The sequence below is a fragment of the Homo sapiens genome, chromosome 13 (assembly GCF_000001405.40).
Source record: "Homo sapiens chromosome 13, GRCh38.p14 Primary Assembly".
Taxonomy (NCBI): domain Eukaryota; kingdom Metazoa; phylum Chordata; class Mammalia; order Primates; family Hominidae; genus Homo; species Homo sapiens.
In genome coordinates, this window is record NC_000013.11 from 101,466,695 (window position 1) to 101,492,110 (window position 25,416).

General features: G+C 36.7%; 1 protein-coding gene across 4 annotated transcripts in view, besides 1 other annotated feature; it reads left to right on the plus strand.

Annotated features, from left to right (window-relative positions):
• Positions 1-25,416, plus strand: part of ITGBL1 (integrin subunit beta like 1) — a 268,182-nt gene that overhangs the window by 14,020 nt on the left and 228,746 nt on the right. The window contains exon 1 of one of the 4 annotated variants that reach the window (NM_001271756.2): positions 23,204-23,306. The exons of the other annotated variants lie outside the window; for them this stretch is intronic. Coding sequence (NP_001258685.1) covers positions 23,270-23,306 — 37 coding nt within the window. The 5' untranslated portion in view covers positions 23,204-23,269. Of the gene's footprint in view, positions 1-23,203; positions 23,307-25,416 lie in introns of those variants that run through there. 4 annotated transcript variants of the gene reach the window in all.
• Positions 7,163-7,663: an enhancer, noted in NCBI's record as "H3K27ac hESC enhancer chr13:102126208-102126708 (GRCh37/hg19 assembly coordinates)". NCBI's record gives its function as "activates a minimal SCP1, AML or CMV promoter by ChIP-STARR-seq in naive H9 embryonic stem cells {active_cell/tissue: H9 hESC(naive)}" and the evidence as "EXISTENCE:reporter gene assay evidence [ECO:0000049][PMID:30033119]".

Here is a 25,416-nt window from a genome sequence, read left to right on the forward strand (position 1 = left end):
TTCTGGAAACTAAAAACAAAAATATTTAGCACAAAAAATAGGTATTTAGCACAGTTCTGAGTAAACAGTACAGATCGATCTTTCCTGGAGCTCTGCTTTGTATGGTTTTGAATTACTGTCTAGTGTCCTTTTATGTCAACCCGAAGGAAGGACTCCTTTAGAATTTGTTGCAGGGTAGATGGTTTAGTCCATTCAGGCTGCTGTAACAAGATACCCTAGACTGAGTAATTTAGAAACAGGACAAATTTAATGCTCACAGTTCTGGAGGCTGGGAAGTCTAGAATCAAGGTGCCAACAGATTCAGTGTATGGTGAGGGCTCATTTTCAGCTTCCTGGATGGCAACTGTATCCTCACATGTTGGAAGGGGTAAACAGGCTCCCCCAAGCCTCTTTTATAAGGGCACTAATCCCACTAATGAGCCTGGAGTGCTCATGACCTAATCACCTCCTGCAGGCCCACCCACCTTCTTAATACTGTCACGTTGGGGATTAGGTTCCAAAATATGGGTCAATATTTATATCATAGCAGCCGGTCTACTAGCTGACCTTGGCAAAGGGAAACCTCACATCAGTGGGACGGGGATATTGAAGCCTTTGTCCTTTGGGAAATTTAGCTTCCAAACCTGGTCTGAGATTTAAAGGCAAGAGTCACATCTAAGAAGGTGGAAAAGTCTGGTACAGCTAGACTGAGAGTATCAGGGGAATTTACCAGGGCGTTTTTGGGACTCTACGTGGGTAAATTCTCAAGCTATTTTCTAATAACTTCTAAATTGATAAAGATAGAGAGCTGCATGGGGGTTGCAAATCTCATTTTCTTTGGAAAAGGAGTGCTTTGTCTTTCCAAGAATCACATTTCCTGGCAAATAAGAAACTATATTTTGTAATAGAAGTCATTCTCCTGTCTACTCTAAATCATCTTACTTAAGGCTGGGTAGAAGAATGAGGGCTTTATAAAGAGAAAAGAAAAATAAGACTTTTATAAGGGTGCTTACTGATTTGACTTTGTACAACCCCACTCTTAGGTTATACGATAAAATCAGTCCCTGTACCAAGAGCCCTATCGTTGTAATTGTTTGTACATAGTCACTAGTTCAAACACCGAATTATTTAAAGTGAATACCTACCCACTCTAGTTTCCTGTTCTGTTATTTTATCTGGAAACTTCCTAGGGAAAGGTAGGCTAAATTTTTTTTTTTAAAAGAGGTCAATGAGTTTGGGCATTGCTTAAAAACTTCTCTTACGGCAAGGTATTAACTGTAAATTCATGACTTAGTCAATGGGGTAGAGTAAGGAGCCAAAATCAGAAAATGAAAACGTGGTAAATGCATTTCCTAATTGTTCATTACTGCTTTTTCAAAGCTATCATTTTCTGCTGAGCAAAATAGTTAGACAAAACTAGTTATTTTTATAAACAAAGTGACTTGGCCATTTAAGCAGTTTCCTCTCCAAAATACAAAAGACAAGTTATAGACTATTTTCTTTTCTTTCCTGGGCAACACCATTAGTTATATGAGCTCTAAGAGCTGTCTTGACATGGAAATAATTCACTTGCTTCAAGAAAGAAAGTATTTGATTTGTTAACTATGTGCTCGAGAGACTTCTCTCAGTTGCCTGTTTGGATAATTTTAAGCCTTGAAATTAATGCTACATTAGAAATACAAATGAGTAAGAGTAGTATCTACCTATATTTGAGTATAGTATGCTGGAAAATATTTTCATACATATGAATTCATTCACTTTTTATAATAACTTTTAAGAGATAGTCAAAACAATTATCCTCCAACTATTGTGCTAAGTAAGCCTGAGGAGAAATTCCTCCCACCCCAAATCAATAGAAGGGTTTTCTTCAGCATTATAGTAAAATTATCCTAAAAGCACATATGTAGGGATAATTTCTTCATGAATTTTGGAGTACTGAAAGAAAAACATAATTTTCAGAAACTTTATTTACATTTAAAAATATAACTTCTTTTTGGAAAAGTAGATTTTGATTCTTATTTTTGTCTTAGAGAGTGCATGTAAAAGCTCAAATGGTAAGAAAGTACTGGGCAAAAGAACCCGTTATGCATCTCATGTTAAAGAAAGTGAGATAGCCGAAATCACTGGGACAAAATTACTTGTCGTACTGATAATGAGCATTTTCTCAGCTGTAGTTGAAGTTTTTAGAGAGATTGCATTTAACATCAACCATATCCAAATAAGAAGGATCCTCCTGAGTCAGCCTTTGAAGGAACTCCTCCATAACCTAATTTTTCTTGTCTATAAAAGTGAAAGAAAAGGTAGGTAGGAGAGTTGAATCTACATATTTGTTATTTCCTTGGGCATTACCTTACATTATTTTGTGTATTACATATTTTGGCTATTACGAATAAGTCACATCAGAGATTCTCTTTTGTTCTTATAACATTACATTTCATAAAGTGAGCTCCAAAAATTTAAACACATGCAGGTTTTAATATACGTATAGCCTTTTTGAGATCAAAGCTATGCGAGCCAACAATACTGCAAAGAGAGAGAAGAAAGGCATTTACAGAAAGCTGAACAGTTTTGAATGGATCATCATGTAGGTTCACTTTGCATCTTGGAAATGAATGGGTGGACCGTGGGTCATAATATGAAGGCTTATGGGGACATCCTGCCTACCTGGGATTCTGGATATTGTGGTCTTTCAATATTTCAAATATCCCTGTTAATACACCAGTTGTTGCCAGGCGCTGTGGCTCATGCCTGTAGTCCCAGCACTTAGGGAGGCCGAGGCAGGTGGATCACCTGAGGTCACGAGTTCGAGACCAGCCTGGCCAACATGGGTGAAACCCTGTCTCTACTAAAAATACAAAAATTAGCTGGGCATGGTGGTGGGTGCCTGTAATCCCAGCTACTTGGGAGGCTGAGACAGGATAATTGCTTGAAACCGGGAGGTGGAGGTTGCAGTGAGCTGAGATCACACCATTGTACTCCAGCCTGGGTGACAAGAGTGAAACTCCATCTTTCCATCTATAAAAAAACAAAAACAAAAAACACCACAAAAACAGATGTTGTATTTTAAGACCTATGAGTGGCAATGCGCTGATCTTTTATTAAAAGATAGTACAGTCTTTACTGAATTTAACAATCTTTTCCTTGGGAAAACTAAGCAGGCAGGTTTGGGTAGGATGAAAATGCAGAGGCAGAATGCTCTGGAAAATGCTTGGGAATTGGAATTAAAAAACAAAGCTGTTTGATCTTTCTCCGCTATTGTTGCTGCCTGTGTGATCTTGCACAAATCACGTAACTTCTCTGAGCCTCAGTTCAGTTAAATTCAAAAGGCACTTATTAAACATCTCCAGAAGGATGTCTAGAGAAGAACAGGGAAATCTTATGATCAGACCTAGCCTCATTAGCTGTGAGATTTCAGCCATCAGATGGCAACAGGAGCTGGATCTCCAGTTACTGTAGATTTGATAAGAGGGTGGAAAGAATTTGTTTTCTTACAGTTGACTGCAAAACGAAATATTCTGTTACCTTAGCTAACCTTGGAAGCTCTGCTTTCCTTGAGGATTTAAGAACTTTCATATCCATAAATAATTATTTAATGCATGTCCAGTGCTTGAAAGATAGTATAATATAGGCATTACTATTTTATTCCTTTTTTAATTAATTTATTTTTTTTTTTTGAGATGGAGTCTCGCTCTGTCACCCAGGCTGGAGTGCAGTGGCGCGATCTCGGCTCACTGCAAACTCCACCTCCTGGGTTCCAGTGATTCTCCTGCCTATGCATTACTATTTTATAAAGTAGACGTGGTGTTTGTCTTTAATTCCCCAACTATATGCACACAGTCTGTTAAAGCACAATGAAATAATGATATTTGTGTGCATCTCAACATTTACCCTCTGGGTGTATAGTTATCAAAAACCATAATAGTCTCTGCTGCCCTTTATATGAAAGTCAACTAGGCAACCTAGCAAGAGAGCCATGACTTTGAAGAACAACTAATGAATGAGGTGTGTGTGGGAGGGGTGGAGGGGTGGTGTTTAGAAGAGAATAGCAATAGTCTGGAAAAAAATTCCTTTTCTAGTAGGACAACATTCTATGGGGTGCCCTTAAAAATCTATTTAATTATAATCATCCTATATGCTTATTCTTAATTTGAAATAAGGTAATGATAATACAGCTAACATTTATTTAGAATTGCTACATCCTTCTTGTGTGGTGTTAAATTCTCCCAATAAACAAATATCATCTTACCATTCTAAAGATAAAAGCATGAGCCTCAAAAAGATTAAATAAAATGTTTAAGATCACATGTTGTCTGAAATAAAAACTGTGCAATCAGTCACTTTGTTATTAAGTTACACCATTTAGTACAGTGACACTGGCTAACAAATGCCCCAAGAAGTATTAAATCTCTTTTCTGAATTTTGAATTATCACATGCATTATTAATCTACCATAATTAAATGTCATTTTCATATGTGAAAGTGTGAGAGGGAGAATGCTGAGGAGATTGAAGGAGAAAGACTATATGGGTTCCAAAACTGGCTCGATTTTGGGAAGTTAGTTGATTTGCTTGTGCCTCTGTTTCCTCTTATCATAGTGTTATTATTGAGAAAACTCCCTTGCAGGTAATAAATCCTCAACAGCAACTTCTTTTTGTTATCAGTATTATCAGGCCATTCCCATGTCACTATGATTAAATTATATACTCCTCAAGGGCAGGAATAGTATCTGATTTTCTGTAAGATTTTCTCTTAGGTCTTTGTTGTTATTGCTTCAAGAATGCTTCATTACAGACCACCACAACATTTAGTGGCTTACAGAAAGGCAACACAAATATATATGTGTGTGTGTGTGTGTATGTATGTGTGTGTGTGTGTGTGTGTGTGTGTGTGTGTGTGTATATATATTTCTCACTCTTGGGTGTGCAAATGAGCTACAACTCAGCTAGGCAAGCCTGGACTTCAGGCTGAAGGCTGGCTGCATTCTGCTGCACGTTATTTTTATGCTACCCAAGCTACGTTTTCGGTATTGTGGATCACAGGAGCACTAGAAAGTGAGACGAAATACTTGAGATCTCTTAAATCTTTGACTCTGAACCAATAACATGCACTTTATATCCAAACATCACTGGGCAAAAGGAGCCACAGGCCCAAGCCAGATATCTCTGCTCTGCATGGTGGGAGTGAGTGAGGAGCTCACAGCAGTAATACCATCAGTAGGATTTAGAAGGGATATTCAAATATTCAGTGAAATTAATTTATTGACATGATCATAAACATCTGACATTTAAATTTAATTTGGAAATAAATACATTTTATTTTTATTTTAAGTATAACCATATTAATCAATTACATAGTAAATTATATTGACATCATAAGACATTAGGTCTATGTTTAGGGAATTCATTTTTATGAGATTGATATGAACTCTCTTATGTATTAACTTCTGGATGTATTTTTACTTGTTTAAAAATTTTCATGTCCCTTCACAAAAATCCTTAATTTCCTAAATATAGACTTAATGTCTTATGAGTTAAAGAACACTGCACTGAAATATATCCAATATGCCACTTTATGGCACCTTCCAAATGCTCTTAGTGTAAATGTATGTTACAAATCCCATAAAGCACAGCAAAGATAACAACCAAACTGTTGGTACAAATCATGAGACAGATTCAGTAGTTGTCTGTTTTTATATGCACATTCAGTAAGCTGCTTACCTATGTTTTGTTACATTACTTTAATTTTCGTGCGTTTTCTACCTTAAAATAATATTTTATGTAGGATAATATGCTTAGATCTTTGAATAAGCTACTTTTAGAATTTCTTGAGAACTTCAAGAGTATTGGAAGCAGTCAACATATTATTATTCAGATTTCTGTTTTGGGGGTTTTTAAACCATATAACTCAACTTACTTGAGAAGAAAGGAAAACGTAAATGGTTTTAAATGGTGTTAGCTCTCACACAGGCATTGGGTGGCCAGTCAACTGTTTTAAATTAACTGACAATGCTATTGTGAAGTCCATTAACTTAATGCAGAGGGTTGTTTCATTTTTTTTAATGAGGAACTTTAATTCCTTTAGGAACTAATATTTCCATAAAGTTTCATCAATTTTGAAATTTAATATACATTTTGATTTGATGTCCATATTTGTATAAATATATTTGACAAACATATTTATCCATATCAAATGAACACAATCTTTAAGAATTAAAACTCTAAAAATGGACTGCTTTCTCATATATAGAGTCAAGGATTTATATATTGATATATAAATTAAGAGTTGTATATATTTATGTTGTGTGTATAATTATGTTGTTCAATCAACAGTTATTTATTAAGGAACTACTATTTATAAGATGCTATATTTGTAGCTGCAGAGGTTATAAAGATTAAAATGTGATTCTTGAGAGGGAAGTGGAACAAGATAGCCAACTAGAACCCTCCAATGATCATCCACCCCACAGAAACACCAAACTGAACAATTATCCATGCAGGAAAGCACCTTTATGAGAACCAAAAACCAGATGAGTGATCACAGTACCCGGTTTCAATACCATATCAAAGAAAGAGGCAATGAAGAGGTAGGAAAGACAGTCTTGAATCACCACACCATGCCTACCCCATCCGCCGGCAGCAGCCATGTAGTGTGGAGAGATCATCTCTGTGCTGTTGAGGGAGAGGGAACAGTGATTGTGGAACTTTGGATTGGAACTCAGTTTTGCCCTGTACAGTGGAAGACAACAAGGGGCAGGATTCAGCTGATGCCTACAGACAGATCATTTTGATCAGCCCTAGCCAGAGCGGAATCATCCATTCTAGCAGTTGGAGCCTGAGTTCTGGCTAGCACCACCACTGTGGACTAAAGTAGTCTGGTGTTTTAAATAAACTTGAAAGACAATCTAGACCATAAGAACTAAGATTTCTGGGCAAGTCCTGCTCTGTGCTGGGCTTGGAGCCAGTGGATGTGGGATGCATGTGACCTGGTGAGACACCAGCCAGGGCAGCCAAGGGAGTGTGTGCATCACCCCTCCTTTGACCCTAGGCAGTGCAGCTCATAGCTCCAGGAGGAGAGGGTAAAGAGGAATTTGTCTTACAACTTGCATACCAGCTCAGCCACAATAAAATAGTGTACCAGAGCCCCCATTCGAGGCACTAGCTCCTTGTGCCAGAAGGAAACCCACTACCTTGAAGAGAAGGACCCAGTGCTGGCAGAATTCATCACCTGGCTAAAGAGCACCTGGGTTTTGAATAAATATCAGTGGTACCCAGGCAGTACTTGCTGTGGGCCATGGGTGAGACCCAGGGCCATGCTAGATTCAGGTGTGATCCAACATATTTCAAGCTGTGTTGGCCATGGAGAGAGATTTCTTTTGCTTGAAGAAAGGAGAAAGAAAAGTAAAGGGGACTTTGTCTTACAGCTTGGGCAACAGCTTGGCCCAGTGGGTTAGAGGATCAAGTGAATCCCTGGGGTCCCCAGTTCTACAGTTCTAGGCCTTGACTCCTGGATGGCATTTCTGGACCCACACTGGGCCAGAGGGAAGCCCACTGCCCTGAAGGGAGAGACCAAGGCCTGGTAGCATTCACCACAAGCTGAGCCTTGAGTGAACATTGGTACCAAGCCTGGGGTGGTAATGGCCATGGATAGACACTCTTTCTGACTGAGGAAAGGAGAGGGAAGGGTGGGAAGAACTTTGTTTTGCAGCTTGGGTGCCAACTCAAGTCACAGCAGAACAGTGCACTAAGTAGATTATTAAGTTTCCTGACTCCACGCACTGGCTCATGGACAGCATTTCTGGGCCAGCCTTGAGCCAGGGAGTAGCTTGCTGCCCTGAAGGGAGGAACACAATCCTGGCTCAGTTTGCAACCTGCTGACTGAAGAGCCCCTGGGCCTTGAACAAAATTGGCAGTAGCCAGGCAGTGTGGTTGCTATGAGCCTTGGGTGAGACCTAGTACCATGCTGGCTTTGGGACTGACCCAGAGTAGTCCCAGTAGTAGTTGCAACAGGGGTGCTTGTGTTACCCCTCCCCCAGTTCCAGGCAGATCAGTGTGAAAAGAGAGACTACATTTGTTTGGAGGAAAGTAAGGGAAGAGAACATGAGTCTGCCTGGTAATTCAAGGAATTCTCCTGGATCTTATCCAGGACCACCAAGGAGATACCTTTACAAGTCTGTAAGAATCACGGCATTACTGGGCTTGGGGTGCCCCCTAATGCAGACACAGCTGCAATGACCAAAGATTTAGATAACAACACTCAATTCCCTTTGAATGCTTGGAAATCCCTTCTAAGAAGGACAGATACAAATAAGCCTGGACAGTGAAGACAACAATAAATACCTAACTCTTTAATGCTTAGACATCAGTGAATATCCACAAGCATCAAGGCCATCCAGGAAAACATGACCTCACCAAACAAACTGAATAAGGCACCAGGGACCAATCCTGGAGTGACAGAGTTATGTGACCTGTCAAAGATAATTTAAAATACCTGTTTTGGGGAAGATCAGTGAAATTCAGGATAACACAGAGAAGGAATTCAGAATTCTATCAGATAAATTTAGCAAAGAGATTGAAATAATTAAAAAAAGCAGAAATTCTGGAGCTGAAAAATTCAGTTGACATACTGAAGAATGCATCAGTATCTATCAACCACAGAATTGATCAAACAGAAGAAAGAATTAGTGAGTTTGAAGACAGGCTATTTGAATAGTTAGAAGAGACAAAAGACAAAAAGAATGAAGTTTGCTTACAAGACCCAGAAAATAGCCTCAAAAGGGTAAATCTAAGAGCTATTTGTCTTAAGGAGAAGGGGGAGAGAGAGATCAGCATAGAAAATTTATTCAAAGGGATAGCCGAGAAATTTCCAAACCTAGAGAAATATGTCAATACTCAGGTACAAGAAGGTTATAGAACATCAAATAGATTTAACCCAAATAAGACTACCTCAAGGAATTCAATAGTCAAATTCCCAAAGGTCCAGGATAAAGAAAAGATTCTTAAATTAGCAAGAGAAAAGAAACAAGTAACATTCAAAGGAACTCCAATACATTGGAGCAGACTTCTCAGTGGAAACCCTACAGGCCAAAAGGGACTGGTGCAACATATTTAAAATGCTGATGGGGGGCAGGTGGTGGGGGCTGGGGAGGTGGGGAACAACTTTTATCCTACAGTAACATATTCAGTGAAAATATCCTTCAAACATAAAGAAGCAACAAAACTTTCCCAGATAAACAAAAGCTTAGGATTTCATCAATATCAGATGTGTCCTATGGGAAATGCTAGTTTTTCAATCTAAAAGAAAAGGATGTTAACAAGCAATAAGAAATTATCTGAAGGTACAAAACTCTCTGGTAATAGTAAGTAAACAGACAAATACAGAATATTATAGCACTGTAATTGTGTGTAAAATATTTATATTTTGAGTAGAAAGACTAAAAGATGAACCTATCAAAAATAATAACTCCAATAACTTCTTAAGACATAATAACATAAATAGAAACAATAAAAAGTTAAAAAGTGGGTGGATGAAGTTAGTGTAGAGTTTTCATTAGTTTTCTCTTTGCTTGTTAGTTCATTTTTGCAATCAGTGTTGTCATCAGTTTAAAATAATGAATTATAAGATATTATTTGCAAGCTTCATAGTAACCTCAATTCCAAAAACTGACAGATAAAAAGTTTAAAAATGAAATTAAAACATACCATCAGAAAAAATAATCTTCACAAAAAGGAAGACAAGAAGGAAGGCAAGAAAGAAGGAAAGATGACAAAACAACCAGAAAACAAGTAACAAAATGGCAAGATTAAGTCTTTACTTATTAATAATAATATTGAATATAAATGGACTAAACTCTCTAATCAAAAGACATGGAGTGACTTACTGGATTCAAAAACTAAACAAAACAAATGAGACCCAATGAACATTTGCCCACAACTAACACACTTCATCTGTAAGACACAAATAGACTGAAAATAAAGGGATGAAAAAACATATTCCATACAAACAGAAACCAAAGAAGAGCAGGAATAGCTATACTTATGTCAGACAATATAGATTTCAAGACAAAAACTATATAAGAGGCAAGTTTATTATGTAATGATAAAGGAGTCAACTCAGCAAGAAGTTATAGCAAGTGTAAATATATATACACCCAAAACTGGAGCACCTAGACATGTAAAGCAAATATTATTAGAGCTAAAGTGAGAGATAGACCCCAATACAATAAGAGCTAAAGACTTTAACACCCCACTTTCAGCATTGGACAGATCATCTAGACAGAAAATCAACAAAGAAACATCAGACATAATCTGCACTACAGACCAATTGAACCTGATAGGTATTTCCAAGAACATCGATGGCTGCAAAGTGCACATGCTTCTCCTCTGCACATGGATCATTCTCAAGGGTAGACTATATGTTAGGCCACAAAACAAGTATTAAAGAATTCAAAAATATTGAAATTATATCACATATCTTCTCAGACCACAATGGAATAAAACTAGAAATCAATAACAAGAGGAACTTTGGAAACTATGCAGACACACAGAAATTAAACAATATGCTCCTGAATGACCAATGGGTCAATGAAGTAATTAAGAAATAAATTTAAAAATTTCTTAAAACAAATGGAAAGACTACATACCCAAACCTATGGAATACAATGAAAACAATACTAAGAGGAAAGTTTATAGTAATAAGGACCTACATCAAAAAAGTACAAAAACTTCAAATAAACAACCTAGTGGTGCATGTTAAAGAATTAGAAAAGCAAGAACAAACCAAACCCCAAATTACTGGAAGAAAATAGTGAAGATCATAGCCGAAATAAATGAGATCAAATTAAAAAAATAACAAAAGATCAACCAAAGGGAAAGTTGGTGTTTTGAAAAGATAAACAAAATTGCCAAACCTTTAGCCAGACTAAAAAAGAAGAGCCAAATAAATAAAATCAGAGATGAAAAAGGAGACATTACAGCTGATACTACAGAAATTCAAAGGATCATTTGTGACTACTATGAACAACTATATATATGCCAATAAATTAGAAAACCTGGAAGAAATGGATAAATTCCTAGACACATACAACCTATCAAGATTGAACCAAGAAGAAATTCAAAACCTAAATAGTCCAATAACAGTAATAAAATTGAAACCATAGTTTATTGTACATTGATGAAAAGTTTCCTGGCCTAGTAAAGCCCAGGACTCAATGGTTTCACTGCTCAATTTTACAAAACATTTAAAGAAATAATACCGATCCTACTTTAACTATTTCAAAAAATGGAGGAGGAGGGAATACTTCCAAACTAATTCTGTGAGGCTAATATTACCCTGATACCAAAACCAGACAAAAACACATCAAAGTAAGAAAACTATAGGCCAATATCCCTGATAAGCATTGGTGCAAAAATCCTCAACAAAATACTAGCAAACCAGATTTAACAACACATTAAAAAGATCATTCATCATGACTAAGTGGGATTTATCCCTGGGATGCAAGGATGGTTCAACATATGCAAATCAATCAACGTGATACAACATATCAGCAGAATGAAGGACAAAGCCATATGATCATTTCAGTTGATACTGAAAAAGCATTGGATAAGTCACTATTACTTCATGATAAAAACCCTCAAAAAACTGGGTATAGAAGGAACAAACTTCAACACAATAAAAGCCACATATGACAGACCTATGGCTAGTATCATACTGATTGGGGAAAAACTGAAAGGCTTTCCTTGAAGATCAAGAACACGATACGGATGCCCACTTTTACCAGTGTTATTCAACACAGTACTGGAAGTCCTAGTCAGACAATCAGATAAGAAAAAGAAATAATGTTCATCCACATGGGAAAGGAAGAAGTCAAATTATCCTTGTTTGCAGATGATATGATCTTATGCTTAGAAAAACCCACAGACTCCACCAAAAAACTATTAGAACTGATAAATTCAGTAAAGTTTCAGGATATAAAATCAAAATATAAAAATCAATAGCACTTCTAAATGCCAACAGCAAACAATTTGAAAAAGAAATCAAGAAAGTAACCTCATTTACAACAGCTACAAATAAAATGAGTTAACCAAAGAAGAGAAAGATCTCTACAATGAAAACTATAAACATTGATGCAAAAAATTGAAGAGGACTCAAAAAATGGAAAGAGATTTCATGTTCATGGATTAGAAGACTCAATATTGTTAAAGCATCCATACTACCCAAAGCAATCTACAGATAAAATGTAATCTCTATCAAAATACCAATGACATTCTTCACAAGAATAGAAAAAGTAATCTTAAAATTTATTGAACTACAAAATACCCAGAATAACCAAAGCCATCTTGAGCAAAAAGAACAAAACTGGAGGCATCATATTACCTGACTTCAAATTATAACACAGAGCTATAGTAACCCAAATAGTATAGTACTAGCATAAAAACAGACATATAGACTGAAGGAATAGAATAGAGAACACATAAATAAATCCATACATCTACAGTGACCTCATTTTTTATAAAGGTGCCAAGAACATACATTGAGGAAAACACAATCTCTTCAATAAATGGCTCTGGGAAAACTGATATCCATATGCAGAAGAATAAAACTAGACCCTTATCTCTCACCACATACAAAAATCAAATCAAAATGTATTAAAGACTTAAATCTAAGACCTCAAACTAGGAAACTACTAAAAGAAACAGTTGAGGAAACTCTCTAGGACATCGGTCTGGGCAAAGATTTCTTGAGTAATACCCCACAAGCACAGGCAACCAAAGCAAAAATGGACAAATGGGATCACATCAAGTGAAAAAGCTTCTGCACAGCAAAGGCAACAATCAACAAAGTGAAGAGACAACCCACAGAATAGGATAAAATATTTGCAAACTATTCATTTGACAAGAGATTAATATCAAGAATATATAAGAAGCCCACACAACTCAACAGGAAAAAAAAAATCTAAAAATCCAATCAAAATGGGCCAAAGATCTGAATGGATATTTTTTGAAGACATACAAATAGCAAACAGGCATATGAAAAGGTGCTCAACATGACAGATCATCAGAGAAATGCAAATCAAAGCTACAATGAGATATCGTTTCACCCCAGTTAAAGTGGCTTTAATCCAAAAGGCAGGCAGTAACATTCCCACCAACAGTGTATGAGAGTTGGAGAAAAAGGAACCCTCTTACAGTGTTGGTGGGAATGAAAATTAGCATAGCCACTGTGAAGAACAATTTGGAAGTTCCTCAAAAAACTAAAAATAGAGCTATCATATGATCAAGCAATCCCACTGCTGGATACATACCGAAAAGAAAAGAAATCAGGGTATGGAAGAGATATCTGCCCTGTTATGTTTATTGCAGCACTATTCACTATCACAAAAGACTTGGAAGCAACCTAAGTGGCCATAAACAGATGAACAGTTAAAGAAAATGTGGTATCTATACACAGTGGAGTACTATTCAGCCATAAAAAATGAATGAGATCTTGTCATTTGAAACAACATGGATGGAACTGGAGGACGTTATTTTAAGTGAATAAGCCAGGAACAAAAAGACAGACTCTGCATGTCCTCACTAAGTTGTGGGAGCTAAAAATCAATGCAATTGAATTCATGGATACAGAGAGTAGAATGATGGTTACTAGAGGCTGGGAAGGGCAGTGAGTGGCAGAGGGGTGGAAGTGGGAATGAGTAAAGTGTACAAAAATATAGTTAGATACAGTGTATAAGATCTAGTATTTGATAGCTCAATGATGCTATTTTTTCCATTTGATAACACAAATACTAGATGAATGTAGGGTGACTACAGTCAAAAATAATTTATTGTACATTTAAAAATAACTAAAAGAATACAATTGGAATGTTTGTAACACAAATAAATGATAAGTGCTTGAGGAGATAAATACCCCATTTACCCTGATGTGATTATTACACATTCTATGCCTGTATCCAAGTATCTCACACCCTGTAAATATATACATCTACCATGTACCCATAAAAAGTAAGAATAAAAAAATAAATTCAGAGTAAAAAATCATATGATTTTGTCCTTGAGAAACTTAGTAGTAGGTTTATAGTATAGCATAATGCAGTATTAGAGAAGTACAAAGTGCTTTATATGTGAGGAGTTGGGGTTGTTTTGAAAATGAGCATGATGTTGACTGGTGGGTATGAAAAGAATTGCATTGTAGTCAAACAAGCAAAATTTTAAGGTAGGATATCATGGACATTTTGCTTGCCTAGGCCAGCAGGTTCTTTTAAAGATGCTGTTGGAGAGAAACCTTCAGAGATCAATAGGAGCAGCTCATAGGGAGCCTTTTAATGCCAAAAGATATGTGTGTGTGTGTGTGTGTGTGTGTGTGTGTGTGTACTCATATATGTGTAACTATATACACACACATACATATATATACACACATATATATACACACACGTGCATGTATATACACATATATATACACATGTGCATATATATATGTATATATATATATATGAGAGAGAGCATATATATACATATGAGAGAGAGAGAGAGAGACTGTGAACGCCCTTGGCAGGCAATGTGAGCAGAGAATTGGCTTTTCCAGAAAGGAGTTTCTGGGACATCACTCTTGGGATAAATAGGAAAAAGATAAAAGCCTTCAAATGGAGGTACCAAGGAGAAAGCTATTTAGCTATTTTAATAGCTAATAGTGAAATTAATAATATTCTAAAATTTTGTGGGTGGCTATAGGAAGAAAAGGGAAAGAATGATGCTAGGCACATTGTGATATTATAGAACTGACAGGAATTGGAGACTGGGTTAAGAGGTGGAGATGGGGCTGCAATTTGGTAAATGTAACTAGTTATGGACTTCTGGCTCTCAAATATTGCAAGTTCTACAACCCTTCCTCCACCTTATCCCAGAGATATCTGAGTGTCTTTTTGGTTTGAATTTCAAGTTAAAACCCTGAATATCTGGAGGAACACCCACGCCCATCATGCTCTGATGTTAAGTACTAATACCTTTTGCTCATCCTTGGTTAAATCTTTTTAAATTCATTCATTGTTCTCTCTATATATACTCCTCACTAACATGCAAGATTTTCTTTTTATTTTGAGTTGTATATATTTTTATTTTTCCCCATTTAATTTTTAGTTGAGATTAATGTTGCACATATTCACGGTAGGCAAAGTGATATTTCAATATATGTATACAATGTATAATGATCAAATCAAGGTGATTAGCGTATCCATCACCGCAAATATTTATCGTACCTGGGAGAGTCAAGGGGAATGTGGTGGGGCCAGAAAGGGGAAATTTAGAAGGCAATATTTGGGAGGCAAAGGAATGAGGGGCAGTTGTTCATGAAATGACAGTCTGAAGGTAGAAAGTGGGGGCCAAAGAAGACATCAACTCCCAAAGATTACCAGTTTATTACGTAATGAGCATGTATTAGCCGAGAAGGCTTGAAAAAGTTGACTTTTGAATGCGACACATTTTCTTTAAAATATTGAATCTGGATGTTTTTCTAGTTATTTAAATTTTTATTTGTAGGTATCTGTCTAGGGCACTTTGACCCTTTAGGTGTGGGTTAGCCATTTCTCATTAGGACTGGGAAAGATGAGTGAGAAATAAAATTATAGATTGCATGTTAAAAAGAAAAACACTGGTTGTGACACTGAGTATAGGTTTTTTTTTTTTACTATATCTGAAGTAAAATGATACTTATCTGCCTTGTTAATTATATTTATTTGTAAAAATAGTTTCCATTTAAATTTGTCAATAATAAAATTCCTCATGAAAAATATCAGAAACCTACTCTCTTTTATAATGAAAAGAAACCTAAGTATTAGTTTTTTATGTACCTATGACATTTGATTACAATATGGAATGAAATTTAATTGTAGCATAGTATGAAATGGAAAACACCCTAAATATACCATGAAATTTATGTTATGCTGTGTAATAATTTCCTCATATACTTTCCATATATAGGCACTAAATAAAGTGAAGTAATTTAGGTTAATTTAGGAGGCAGATGTTTTTCAAATACTCATAGGTGTATCAGGTAGGATACACCTGATTGTGACATTATTTGGGGTCCGTATAATAGAAAACCCAAGCCAAGGGTGTGTAAGGAAAAAAATTGCAATTTACTGGACCACTTAACTGAAGTAGTTAGGACTGTGATTTCCAAAGTGTGATTCTTGAATCAGCAGCACACGCATCAACGGGGGACTTGTTAAAACTGTGAATTCTCAGTTTCATACTCACGGCATCAGAGACTCTGGCTGTGGAGCTCAACAGCCTGTGTATTACCAAGTCCTCCAGCTTCCGATGCTTCCATAGTCAAGTTTAAGAAACACTGGTATAGAGCTGGATCTATCCCTGGGTGCAAATCAACTTACGGTTCAAAGGATACCACCAGGATCTAAAGGTGGACTCTGCTAGGCACTGGGATAGCCCCACACCCAGGCTTCACATGGTGGCTAATGACAACAGTAGATACATATCATCACAGCACCCTGTCCAGTGGACAGAGAAATTATCTCACCTGGAATCCTCTTGATGTTCCTGGGTAGCCTGACTCAGGGAGTATCTCTGTCCTTCAGCCAATCACAATGCTGAGTGAATGGGATGTTCCAGTTGTCTTATTCTAGTCATATTGTCCACTGTCAAGGTTGCAATTAATTTAGTATGGGGGCATTGCCACAAGAAGGACAAGAAGATGTAGAATATCATTGACAATGTGTCACAAACAGCAAAGATTCAGTTGTTTCAGAAGACAACCTCAGGCCAAAATTTATTTAACTGAAGTTATTGATGAAAGAAAAATTCAGAGATGCTCTAGAAGTCAATCACTTGACTGGAGAAGGAGAAAAATGTTCACTTGCACAGAAAATGCACAGTCCCATTTTCCAATGTCCTATTACCTAGAGGGCAATTTTAGTTTCATAACCTTGATTACACTATTAATACTGGGCTATTTGGGCTAGTGTGGAGGATAGGCTTGATGTTTGTAAAATAACATTTATTTGAATATGTTTTTCTAAAATTCAATTTTTTTCCTTCTTAATATAAAAATTGTCCTTATTTTACTATCTTACCACATATTTTTGAAATCTAATCTGATTGTTATCACATATTTCTTTAAGTGGAATGGCTTAAATAACTCAGATAATTAAAGGCTAATTAAAGGCTTTGTCATCATTAAGATAATTAAAGTATCAATTAGCTTTTTAAAAGGAAGCTTAGCCTTAATCAGAAATCCTCTATTCACACAGCAGGGCCTCAGATATGGCAGATATTCCTGAAATGGAAAAACAGTACTTCAAAGTTGAGGCTCTGTGGAACTTCGTCATGATTTTTCTTCATCAATCTCTATTCTTTTTTGTAGACGGCATATTTGGTTTTTTTTTCCCCTGCTTTTTGTCTAACTAGTTATATATTGCTTATTGTAGATACTTTTGCAAATACCAAAAAAAATGAAACTCCCAGAAGCAACATTTTAGCTAATTTTTCCCAGCATTTTTCTAAGTTTTATTTTTATTTTTGTGGTTAAAAGGGATAGGTAAAAACCCATCAGCATAAAAAATTTACTTCTCTAATACCCTAGGAAAACAAGAGAATTACAAAATACCTAGAACTGAATGATAATGATTTCTGGTTTCAAATATTTCCTGCCATGAATTTAGTTTTATTTATCCTATCAGTGATTATGTATAGCTTTTCTACATGGTTTATTTAATTCTTAAAAATTCTCAGTGATTTTTCTATTCCAACATTGTGAATTGACCCAAGTTGAGTTTCTGGATATGAAAACCACAATATTTGATATGAAAAATACTATATGGGATTAACAGCAGATTCACATCACAGAAGAAAAAACGGTGAATTTGAAGATGGAGCATTCGAAGCTATCCAAATTAAAACAGAAAAATATTTTTATTTGTATAAATTTTAGGATTACAAGTGCAGTTTTGCTACATGAATATGTTGTATAGCGGGGGAAGTCTGGGTTTTTAGTGTAATCATCTCCTAGGACTATTCAGAAAATAGGTTTTAAAAATGAATGGAACATCAGTTAGCTGTGAAACAATTTTAAATGATCTAATAGAGGTATAATTTAATTTGTGAAGGACAGGAACTGGCAAAATATTTGAAGAAATAATAATGAAAATATTTCAAATTTGATGAACATTGTATATCCACAAGCACAAGACGCTCAATAAACTTGAACTATAAACAAAGAAATCTGAAGACACTACACTGAGGCATGTCAAAATTAAATTGCTCAAAACCGTTAATAGGGAGACAATCTTAAAAAGCATCTAGAGAAAAAACCGTATACTGTATACAGAGGAACGAAAATAAGGATGATAGCAGATTTCTCTTATTTCAAAGACAGTAGAACAACATCTTTAAAGGATTGAAGAAAAAATGTAAACCTAGAAGTCTAAACTCAGCAAAATACTTTTCAAAAACAAATGTGAAATTAAGACTTTTTTCAGGCTTACAAAAGAGAATCATCACTGGTCGATGTCAGCTAGAAGAAATGCTAGAGGAAGTTCTGCAGGCACAAGGAAAATCATGCCAAGTGGAAAGATGAATCTACACTAAGTCATGAAAAGAACTAGAAATGGTAATTACATGGGTAAATATATGTGGTGCATTTTTCTTTTATTCACATGTCTTTTAAAGAGAAGTTTGCATCAAAAAGTGGGTAAAGGATATGAATAGACAGTTCTCAAAAAAAGATATACAAACAGCTAACAAACATATGAAAAAATGCTCAAAATCACGAATCATCAGGGAAATGCAAACTAAAACCTCAGTGAGATACTACCTTACTCCTATAAGAATGGCCGTAATTAGGCCAGGTGCGGTGGTTCACGTCGGTAATCTCAGCACTTTGGGAGACCGAGGTGGGCTGATCACGAGGTCAGGAGATCGAGACCACAGTGAAACCCCGTCTCTACTAAAAATACAAAAAATTACCTGGGCGTGGTGGCAGGCGCCCGTAGTCCCAGCTGCTTGGGAGGCTGAGGCAGGAGAATGGCGTGAACCCGGGAGGCAGAGCTTGCAGTGAGCCAAGATCACGCCACTGTACTCCAGCCTGGTCAACAGCGCGAGACTCTGTCTCAGAACAAAACAAAACAAAAGAATGGCCATAATTAAAACATCAAAAAAACAATAGATGTTGGTAGGGATGTGGTGAAAAGGGCACACTTTTACACTGCTGGTGAGAATATAAATTAGTGTAATACAACCAGTATGGAAAACAGTGTGGAGATTTCTTAAAAAACTAAAAGTAGAACTACCATCAATCCAGCAATCCCACTCCTGGGTATCTACCCAATGGAAAAGAAATCATTAGACGAAAAAGATAAACGCACACATGTGTTTACAGCAGCACCATTGCAAAGATGTGGAACCAACCTAAGTGTCCATCAACCAACGAGTGGATAAAAAAAAAATGTGGTATATATACACCAGGGAATACTACTCAGCCTTGAAAAGGAGTGAAATAATGTCTTCTGAAGCAACTTGGATGGAGCTGGGGGCCATTATTCTAAGTGAAGTAACTGAGGAATCAAAAACCAAATATATGTTCTCACTTATAAGTAGGAGCTAAGCTATGAGAATGCAAAGGCATAAGAATGATATAATGGACTTTGGGGACTTGGGAGAGGGAAGGGTGTGAGATGGGTGAGGGATAAAAGACTACCCATTGGGTACAGTGTACACTGCTCAGGTGATGAGTGCACCAAAATCTCAGAAATCACCACTAAAGAACTTCACCTGTTTCCCAAAACTATTGAAATAAAAATAAAAATTAGAAAAGATCAGAGGGAAAGAATATGGGGGAAATAAGACCCCCATCAAAAAATAAGTGATGAAAGATACTGGGGAAAAACACAGGAGAGCAGGTTACTGGGGAAATAAAGACTATTTGAGAAATGGGCAAAAATGATAAATAATGCAAATCCACAATGTAAGTTTCATATTTTAAAAGTCTAGACCTCTTGCAGCTTTGAAACTTCATGATGCTATTTAAATGTCATGTTTAGTATTGTAAATAATGGTAATTTTAATCATTAATGCTAATTGCTATTCTCTGTGGCTATATTACTATTCATTTATTCAGTCAATGCATGTTTGTTTAGCACTAGAAGGAACATAAGCACACATCCAGTAGTCTGTATTTTATTTGGTTTAATTTCACACACCCAAAAATGCCTACGTAGGTATTAAATGTCAGCTCTTATTTTTAATGCTTTCTAGATTGCATCAGCCAAATGGGAAGAATTATAAAAAAAATGTAAATAACTACTTAAATACATTCATAAGGTCAATAATAACAAAATTTTATAATACTTCTTCATAAACCTTGGATTTGTTTTATTGCTTCTAGGTTCTCATAGTGATTTTGATAGCCTATCTTATCATTTGTTACTATATCTTTGTTAGGTATAAATGTTCAGGCTTCACCTATTACCAGGCATATTAAATTTCACAAGAGAAATGTGTAGTTACAGCTCCAAGGCAGGTGTTATGATCCTGTCAAATTGCTCAGGCTAATTTTAAATCATATCAGGTCTGTTGCTGGGAGATGTTTGAGGAACACAGGAAATTATATGGAGCCTGTTGATAACAGCCTGTCCTTATCCTGTGACCTAAAATAATACCAAACTTGCCACATTACCAACCCTCTTGTTTAAATGTAAAACCCATATTGGAGGTTTACACCAATGTCATTAAAAAAAGAAAGTTAGGATTCAAAAATATGATTGTAATTTTTGAAATCCTGGTAGCGAAAATTTAGCTGAAATTGGCAATTATATTTGACAAAATATTTAATATAAATCAATGTGATGTTTAGTTCAATTACCTCAGGAATATATAGAGTTATCACTGATGGCCTAAGGCCATGCATTCCAAGCTTGGGTGATCATAAGCATTACCTGTGGTGTGTTTCTGCAATACAGTTTCCTAAGCCCCTTTTCCGAAGTGCATTCCGTAGATGTGCAGGTTAACCAGTGTCCTCGGTGAATCTCCTGCTCAGATATACTGGCAGCACACTGGCCTAAAGTAAGGAATTCTTATGCTTTTTAAGAAACTGGATGCAGAGAGCTCTTCTGCATCAACTGAAGTATGTTCAGTCTTAGCTTGTAGGTTTTATTTCCTTACAGTTCATTAAGGTCAGAAAGAAGGGTTAATCTTCCTAACTCAAATGATGCTCCGAAGACAGGAATTGTTAACTAGGTTTGTGTTCAGTGTGAAACTGGCACAGGGGGCCTGACTGCAAACAGCCATGCAGGGAGGTTGAGGCTGAGGAGGTGGTGATGGTAAGAATGCTGGGCTTCGGAGGAGGAGATCAAATGGGCCTCCCTCATGATGAGAAGGGAGAGAAGGGATGGAGGATGGCAGGGATTGGGACTTACAGTAAACAGATACTGGTTTTTCTTGAAGGATGTTTGGATTTCACAGCCCATGCTTTTCTAACCAAGGAGCCAGCCTTAGCATTGACATTTGAGGGAGTATACAATTCCAAATGAGGTTGAAGATAAAGGAGCAATTGCTTTTTACATTAAAGGCACAGCCTTTTCAGAGCAATCTGTTCATCCTCTGTTATCACTTTAAAGGGAGTCTAGTTTTTAGCTTGATGTATACATTTAACTGACTCTCTATAATGGCAGAGAAGACTGCATGGCACTTCCAAGTTCATTTCTTTACCTTTAAGTGGATTAAGGCATATGCCTGCTTAGCTTTCCCACGTTCACTGCTTTGAGGGGAGTAAAACTGGAGTGATTTCAGGAATTGACACTGGAAGAGTTTCCTGGTCACAGGCTTTGAACCCGGAAAGACCTAAGCTGACTGTCAACTTTAACTTGAGAGAGCTGTTAACCACCTCAGTTTCCTTGTCTAAGCGGAAGAACAGAACATGTTAATAGAAAGTGCAGTTTACTGAGCATGTACTGTGTGCTCAGGCATTGTACTAAGTACCCTATGTCTTATTCGTGAACCCCCCACTACAACCTTTGGAGATATGTGTTATGTTCTGACAACAGCAATAATTTTGCGTCTTCCTCATGGAATTTTTTGTTTATGTGTGAGTGATAATGAGATTAGACTCATTAAAGATTAAAGAAGATTAAAGCCATGCCAATATTAGGTTCCCAGTTCTCAAAAAAAAGGGAGTTATATTCCTTTTCTTTCATTTGTGACTGTTCCTTTTCATCTTTTGGTGTTTTCAGGAAGCCATTTTGCCTGCAGCCGCTGAAGTGGCCCAGCTGCAGATGTTAATGGCTGTTTACCAGTAGGAGCCAAAACACCACACTAAAGAAGCTAGGAGGTGTGGTTATTTTGCCTTTTCTGTAAGATAAATTTCTTAATGCTAATGCCTCCAAATGAAGACATTTGATTTATCTCTAAAGTATATTTTTAAGTATAGAAACTGTAATGAGTGGCTAGATTACTACTCTGTTTTAAAATGTGTTACAAGACAGCTTTCATCATGTCAATCTACGGATCCAACAATTAAAAGAAAGGTTACCGAAATTGTACACAGATAGAAGTTTACTTCATATAGCCCTGGCATTCCAGTCTCTTCTAAGAATGTGAAATAAAGGATTGATAGATGGATAAACACATGGTAGATGGAGGTCTGATTCAGGTGGTGTTAAAAATCAAACAAAAATCTTTCCAAAGTAGGGATCAAATTCTACTTCTTTTGAGATATAAACTGTTTATAGCTTTGAAATGACAGTTTTCACCTCAGCACACCCATTAAATTTTTATGGAACCCTTCCTCGTCTATTAATACATGGCATATAGGAGGGGCTCAATATAATTTAGTTCCCCTTAAATGCTTTGGTATGTGATTTGGAGAGAGCAGCTGACATAGTTGAATATATATCAGATATATGGTTAGAAAAATATCGCATAGCATCTGTAGCAGAAAAATTAGTTTTCTGAAAAGAGTGAATGTAAATAATGCCAGGGAAGTATGCTTTTGAATAACATTTGGTAAGATCCATTCTGAAAGAAGAGAGTTAGGGAACTTTTATTTTATTTTATTTTTCACAGTACAGGAAAAAAGCAAAACAAAGCAACCAAATGTCCTGCTTGGGATGAGGTCATTGATATCAGAGGATGCTGCGATACTGATCAAACTGATAAAATAGCATTCAGTTTGTCTGACTCATTGGTGAAAAATAGAAACCAGTGAGAGGTGGACTAAAGGTTAGTGTGACGGTTGCTAGCTTTTAGAACAAGCAGAAAACAAAATATTTTTACTTTAAACTTTGTCTCATGAACTTAGTTGCAGTGATGGGAGCATTTAATAAAGGTAAGTAGTATTTTTCATTAAATTTTATTAGCATTTTGTTATGGACTGAATATTTGTTTACCCCCAAAATTCTGTGTTGAAATTCTAACCCCCAGTGTGATGGTATTTGGAGGTGGGGCCTTTTGGAGATAATTAGGTTTAGTTGAGTACATGAGGGTGGGGCCCCATAATGGGATCAGTACCTTTATAAGAGAAGGAAGGAACACCAAGAGCTTTCTTTCTCCACCATGTGAGGGTACAGCAAGAAGGCTGCCATCTGCAAGCCAGGAAGAGAGCCCTCACCAAGAACTGAATCTTCCCGCACTTTGTTCTTGGGCTTCCCAGTTTCCAGATCTGTGAGAAATAAATGTCAATTGTTTAAGCCACCTTTTTATGGTATTTTTGTTGTAGTAGTGCTAGCTGACTAAGACACACTTGATAAGTAGCTACTATGCACAGAGTCCTCTTAAGGAATAAAGAACAGTCTAACCCTGAAGCCAGTGAAGACAAGACTAATTAAAATAATACTACTAACAGGGCTGTGAGTAATGTGTTGTTCACACACAGTAAGTAGCCATTAATTCTGCCTGGGATTATCTTGTGGGTGGTGCTGTTTGAGCTGAGTCTTGAAGAGTAAGAGGGATTTGTAGCCTTGAGATGGTACAGCTTCTGAAGACAGGAAATTGGAAATGGGCACAGAGAAGAGGCTAAACTACAAATAAGTGTTTTGACAAAATATGCCAAACCTAACACATGTAGGCAAAGCCACATGCAGTAGTTCTGGCTCTGTTTATCTTCCTGCTCAGATTTTAGTCTGACAGATTTATAGAGAGAAGGGGCAGAGTTTCTGGTTCATTTGAGAAATCATGGCTGAATAACAGGTTTTTCCCTTGATTAGCTGGGAATCCCTAGGGTTGCCCAAGGGCCACAGATACTTACTGACATTTAGTAAAGAACCTCTAAAACATCTTCAGACTGGTCTCATTGTTAATAAGTGGTGTGACACACATTGTGTGTGTAATGTCTGTCTTGGTTTTTGGTGGACCACTTAAAAGTTTATAAAAATAGTTTTTTAAGGTTCTGATGACTTTTCTGCAATATAATTTGTAAGTGCTTATATATCTCCAACCTGTAACTATGTAAATTACTGTGAATAATTTTGTCCTTAATGAAACTCTGTCTGCTTCTCTGTCTGTGATTAAAGATTATGAATAAAATGCATCGGTCTTTTTTGTCCTACATTCTCCTCTGCAAGGTCAGGAGATAGGGTTTGTCAGGGCCCAGTTCTAGCACTGTCTTAAGACTCCATCCTCAGACCCTCCTTCTCCCCGTTACCATCACTGCAAAACTTACCCTATAAAGCAGATAGCTTCCAAATTAACCTACTTTGAACATTTTTTATCATTATGAGCAACTTCATCTAGCAGATATAAGTAGTGAAGTTTTATTCAGATTGTTACATTTGAAGGGATTTTATAATTTGTCACATTACGGTAGAGAGCCCTGTGGCCTCCCAAATTGTAACAACTTTTCCTCCATCACACATTGTCATTTTCTTATGCCACACATTCTTCTGATGATTTTTAAGTGGATTTGTAAGATGAAAAATTCTGAATCACCTGGATGAGCATTGCTTTCTTTTTCTTTATTTTTTTTTAAATTATACTTTAAGTGCTGGGATACATGAGCAGAATGTGCAGGTTTGTTACATAGGTATACACATGCCATGGTGGTTTGCTGCACCCATTAACTCGTCATCTGCGTTAGGTATTTCTCCTAATGCTATCCTCCCCTTAGCCCTCCACCCCCTGACAGGGCCCCGGTGTGTGATGTTCCCCTCCCTGGGTTCATATGTTCTCATTGTTCAACTCCCACTTATGAGTGAGAACATGCAGTGTTGGTGTTTGGATTTCTGTTCCTGGGTTAGTTTGCTGAGAATGGTGGTTTCCACCTTCATCCATGTCCCTGCAAAGGACATGAACTCATCCTTTTTTATGGCTGCATAGTATTCCATAGTGTATATGTGCCATATTTTCTATATCCAGTCTATCATTGATGGGCATTTGGGTTCGTTCCAAGTCTTTGCTATTGTGAATAGTGCTGCAATAAACATATGTGTGCATGTGTCTTT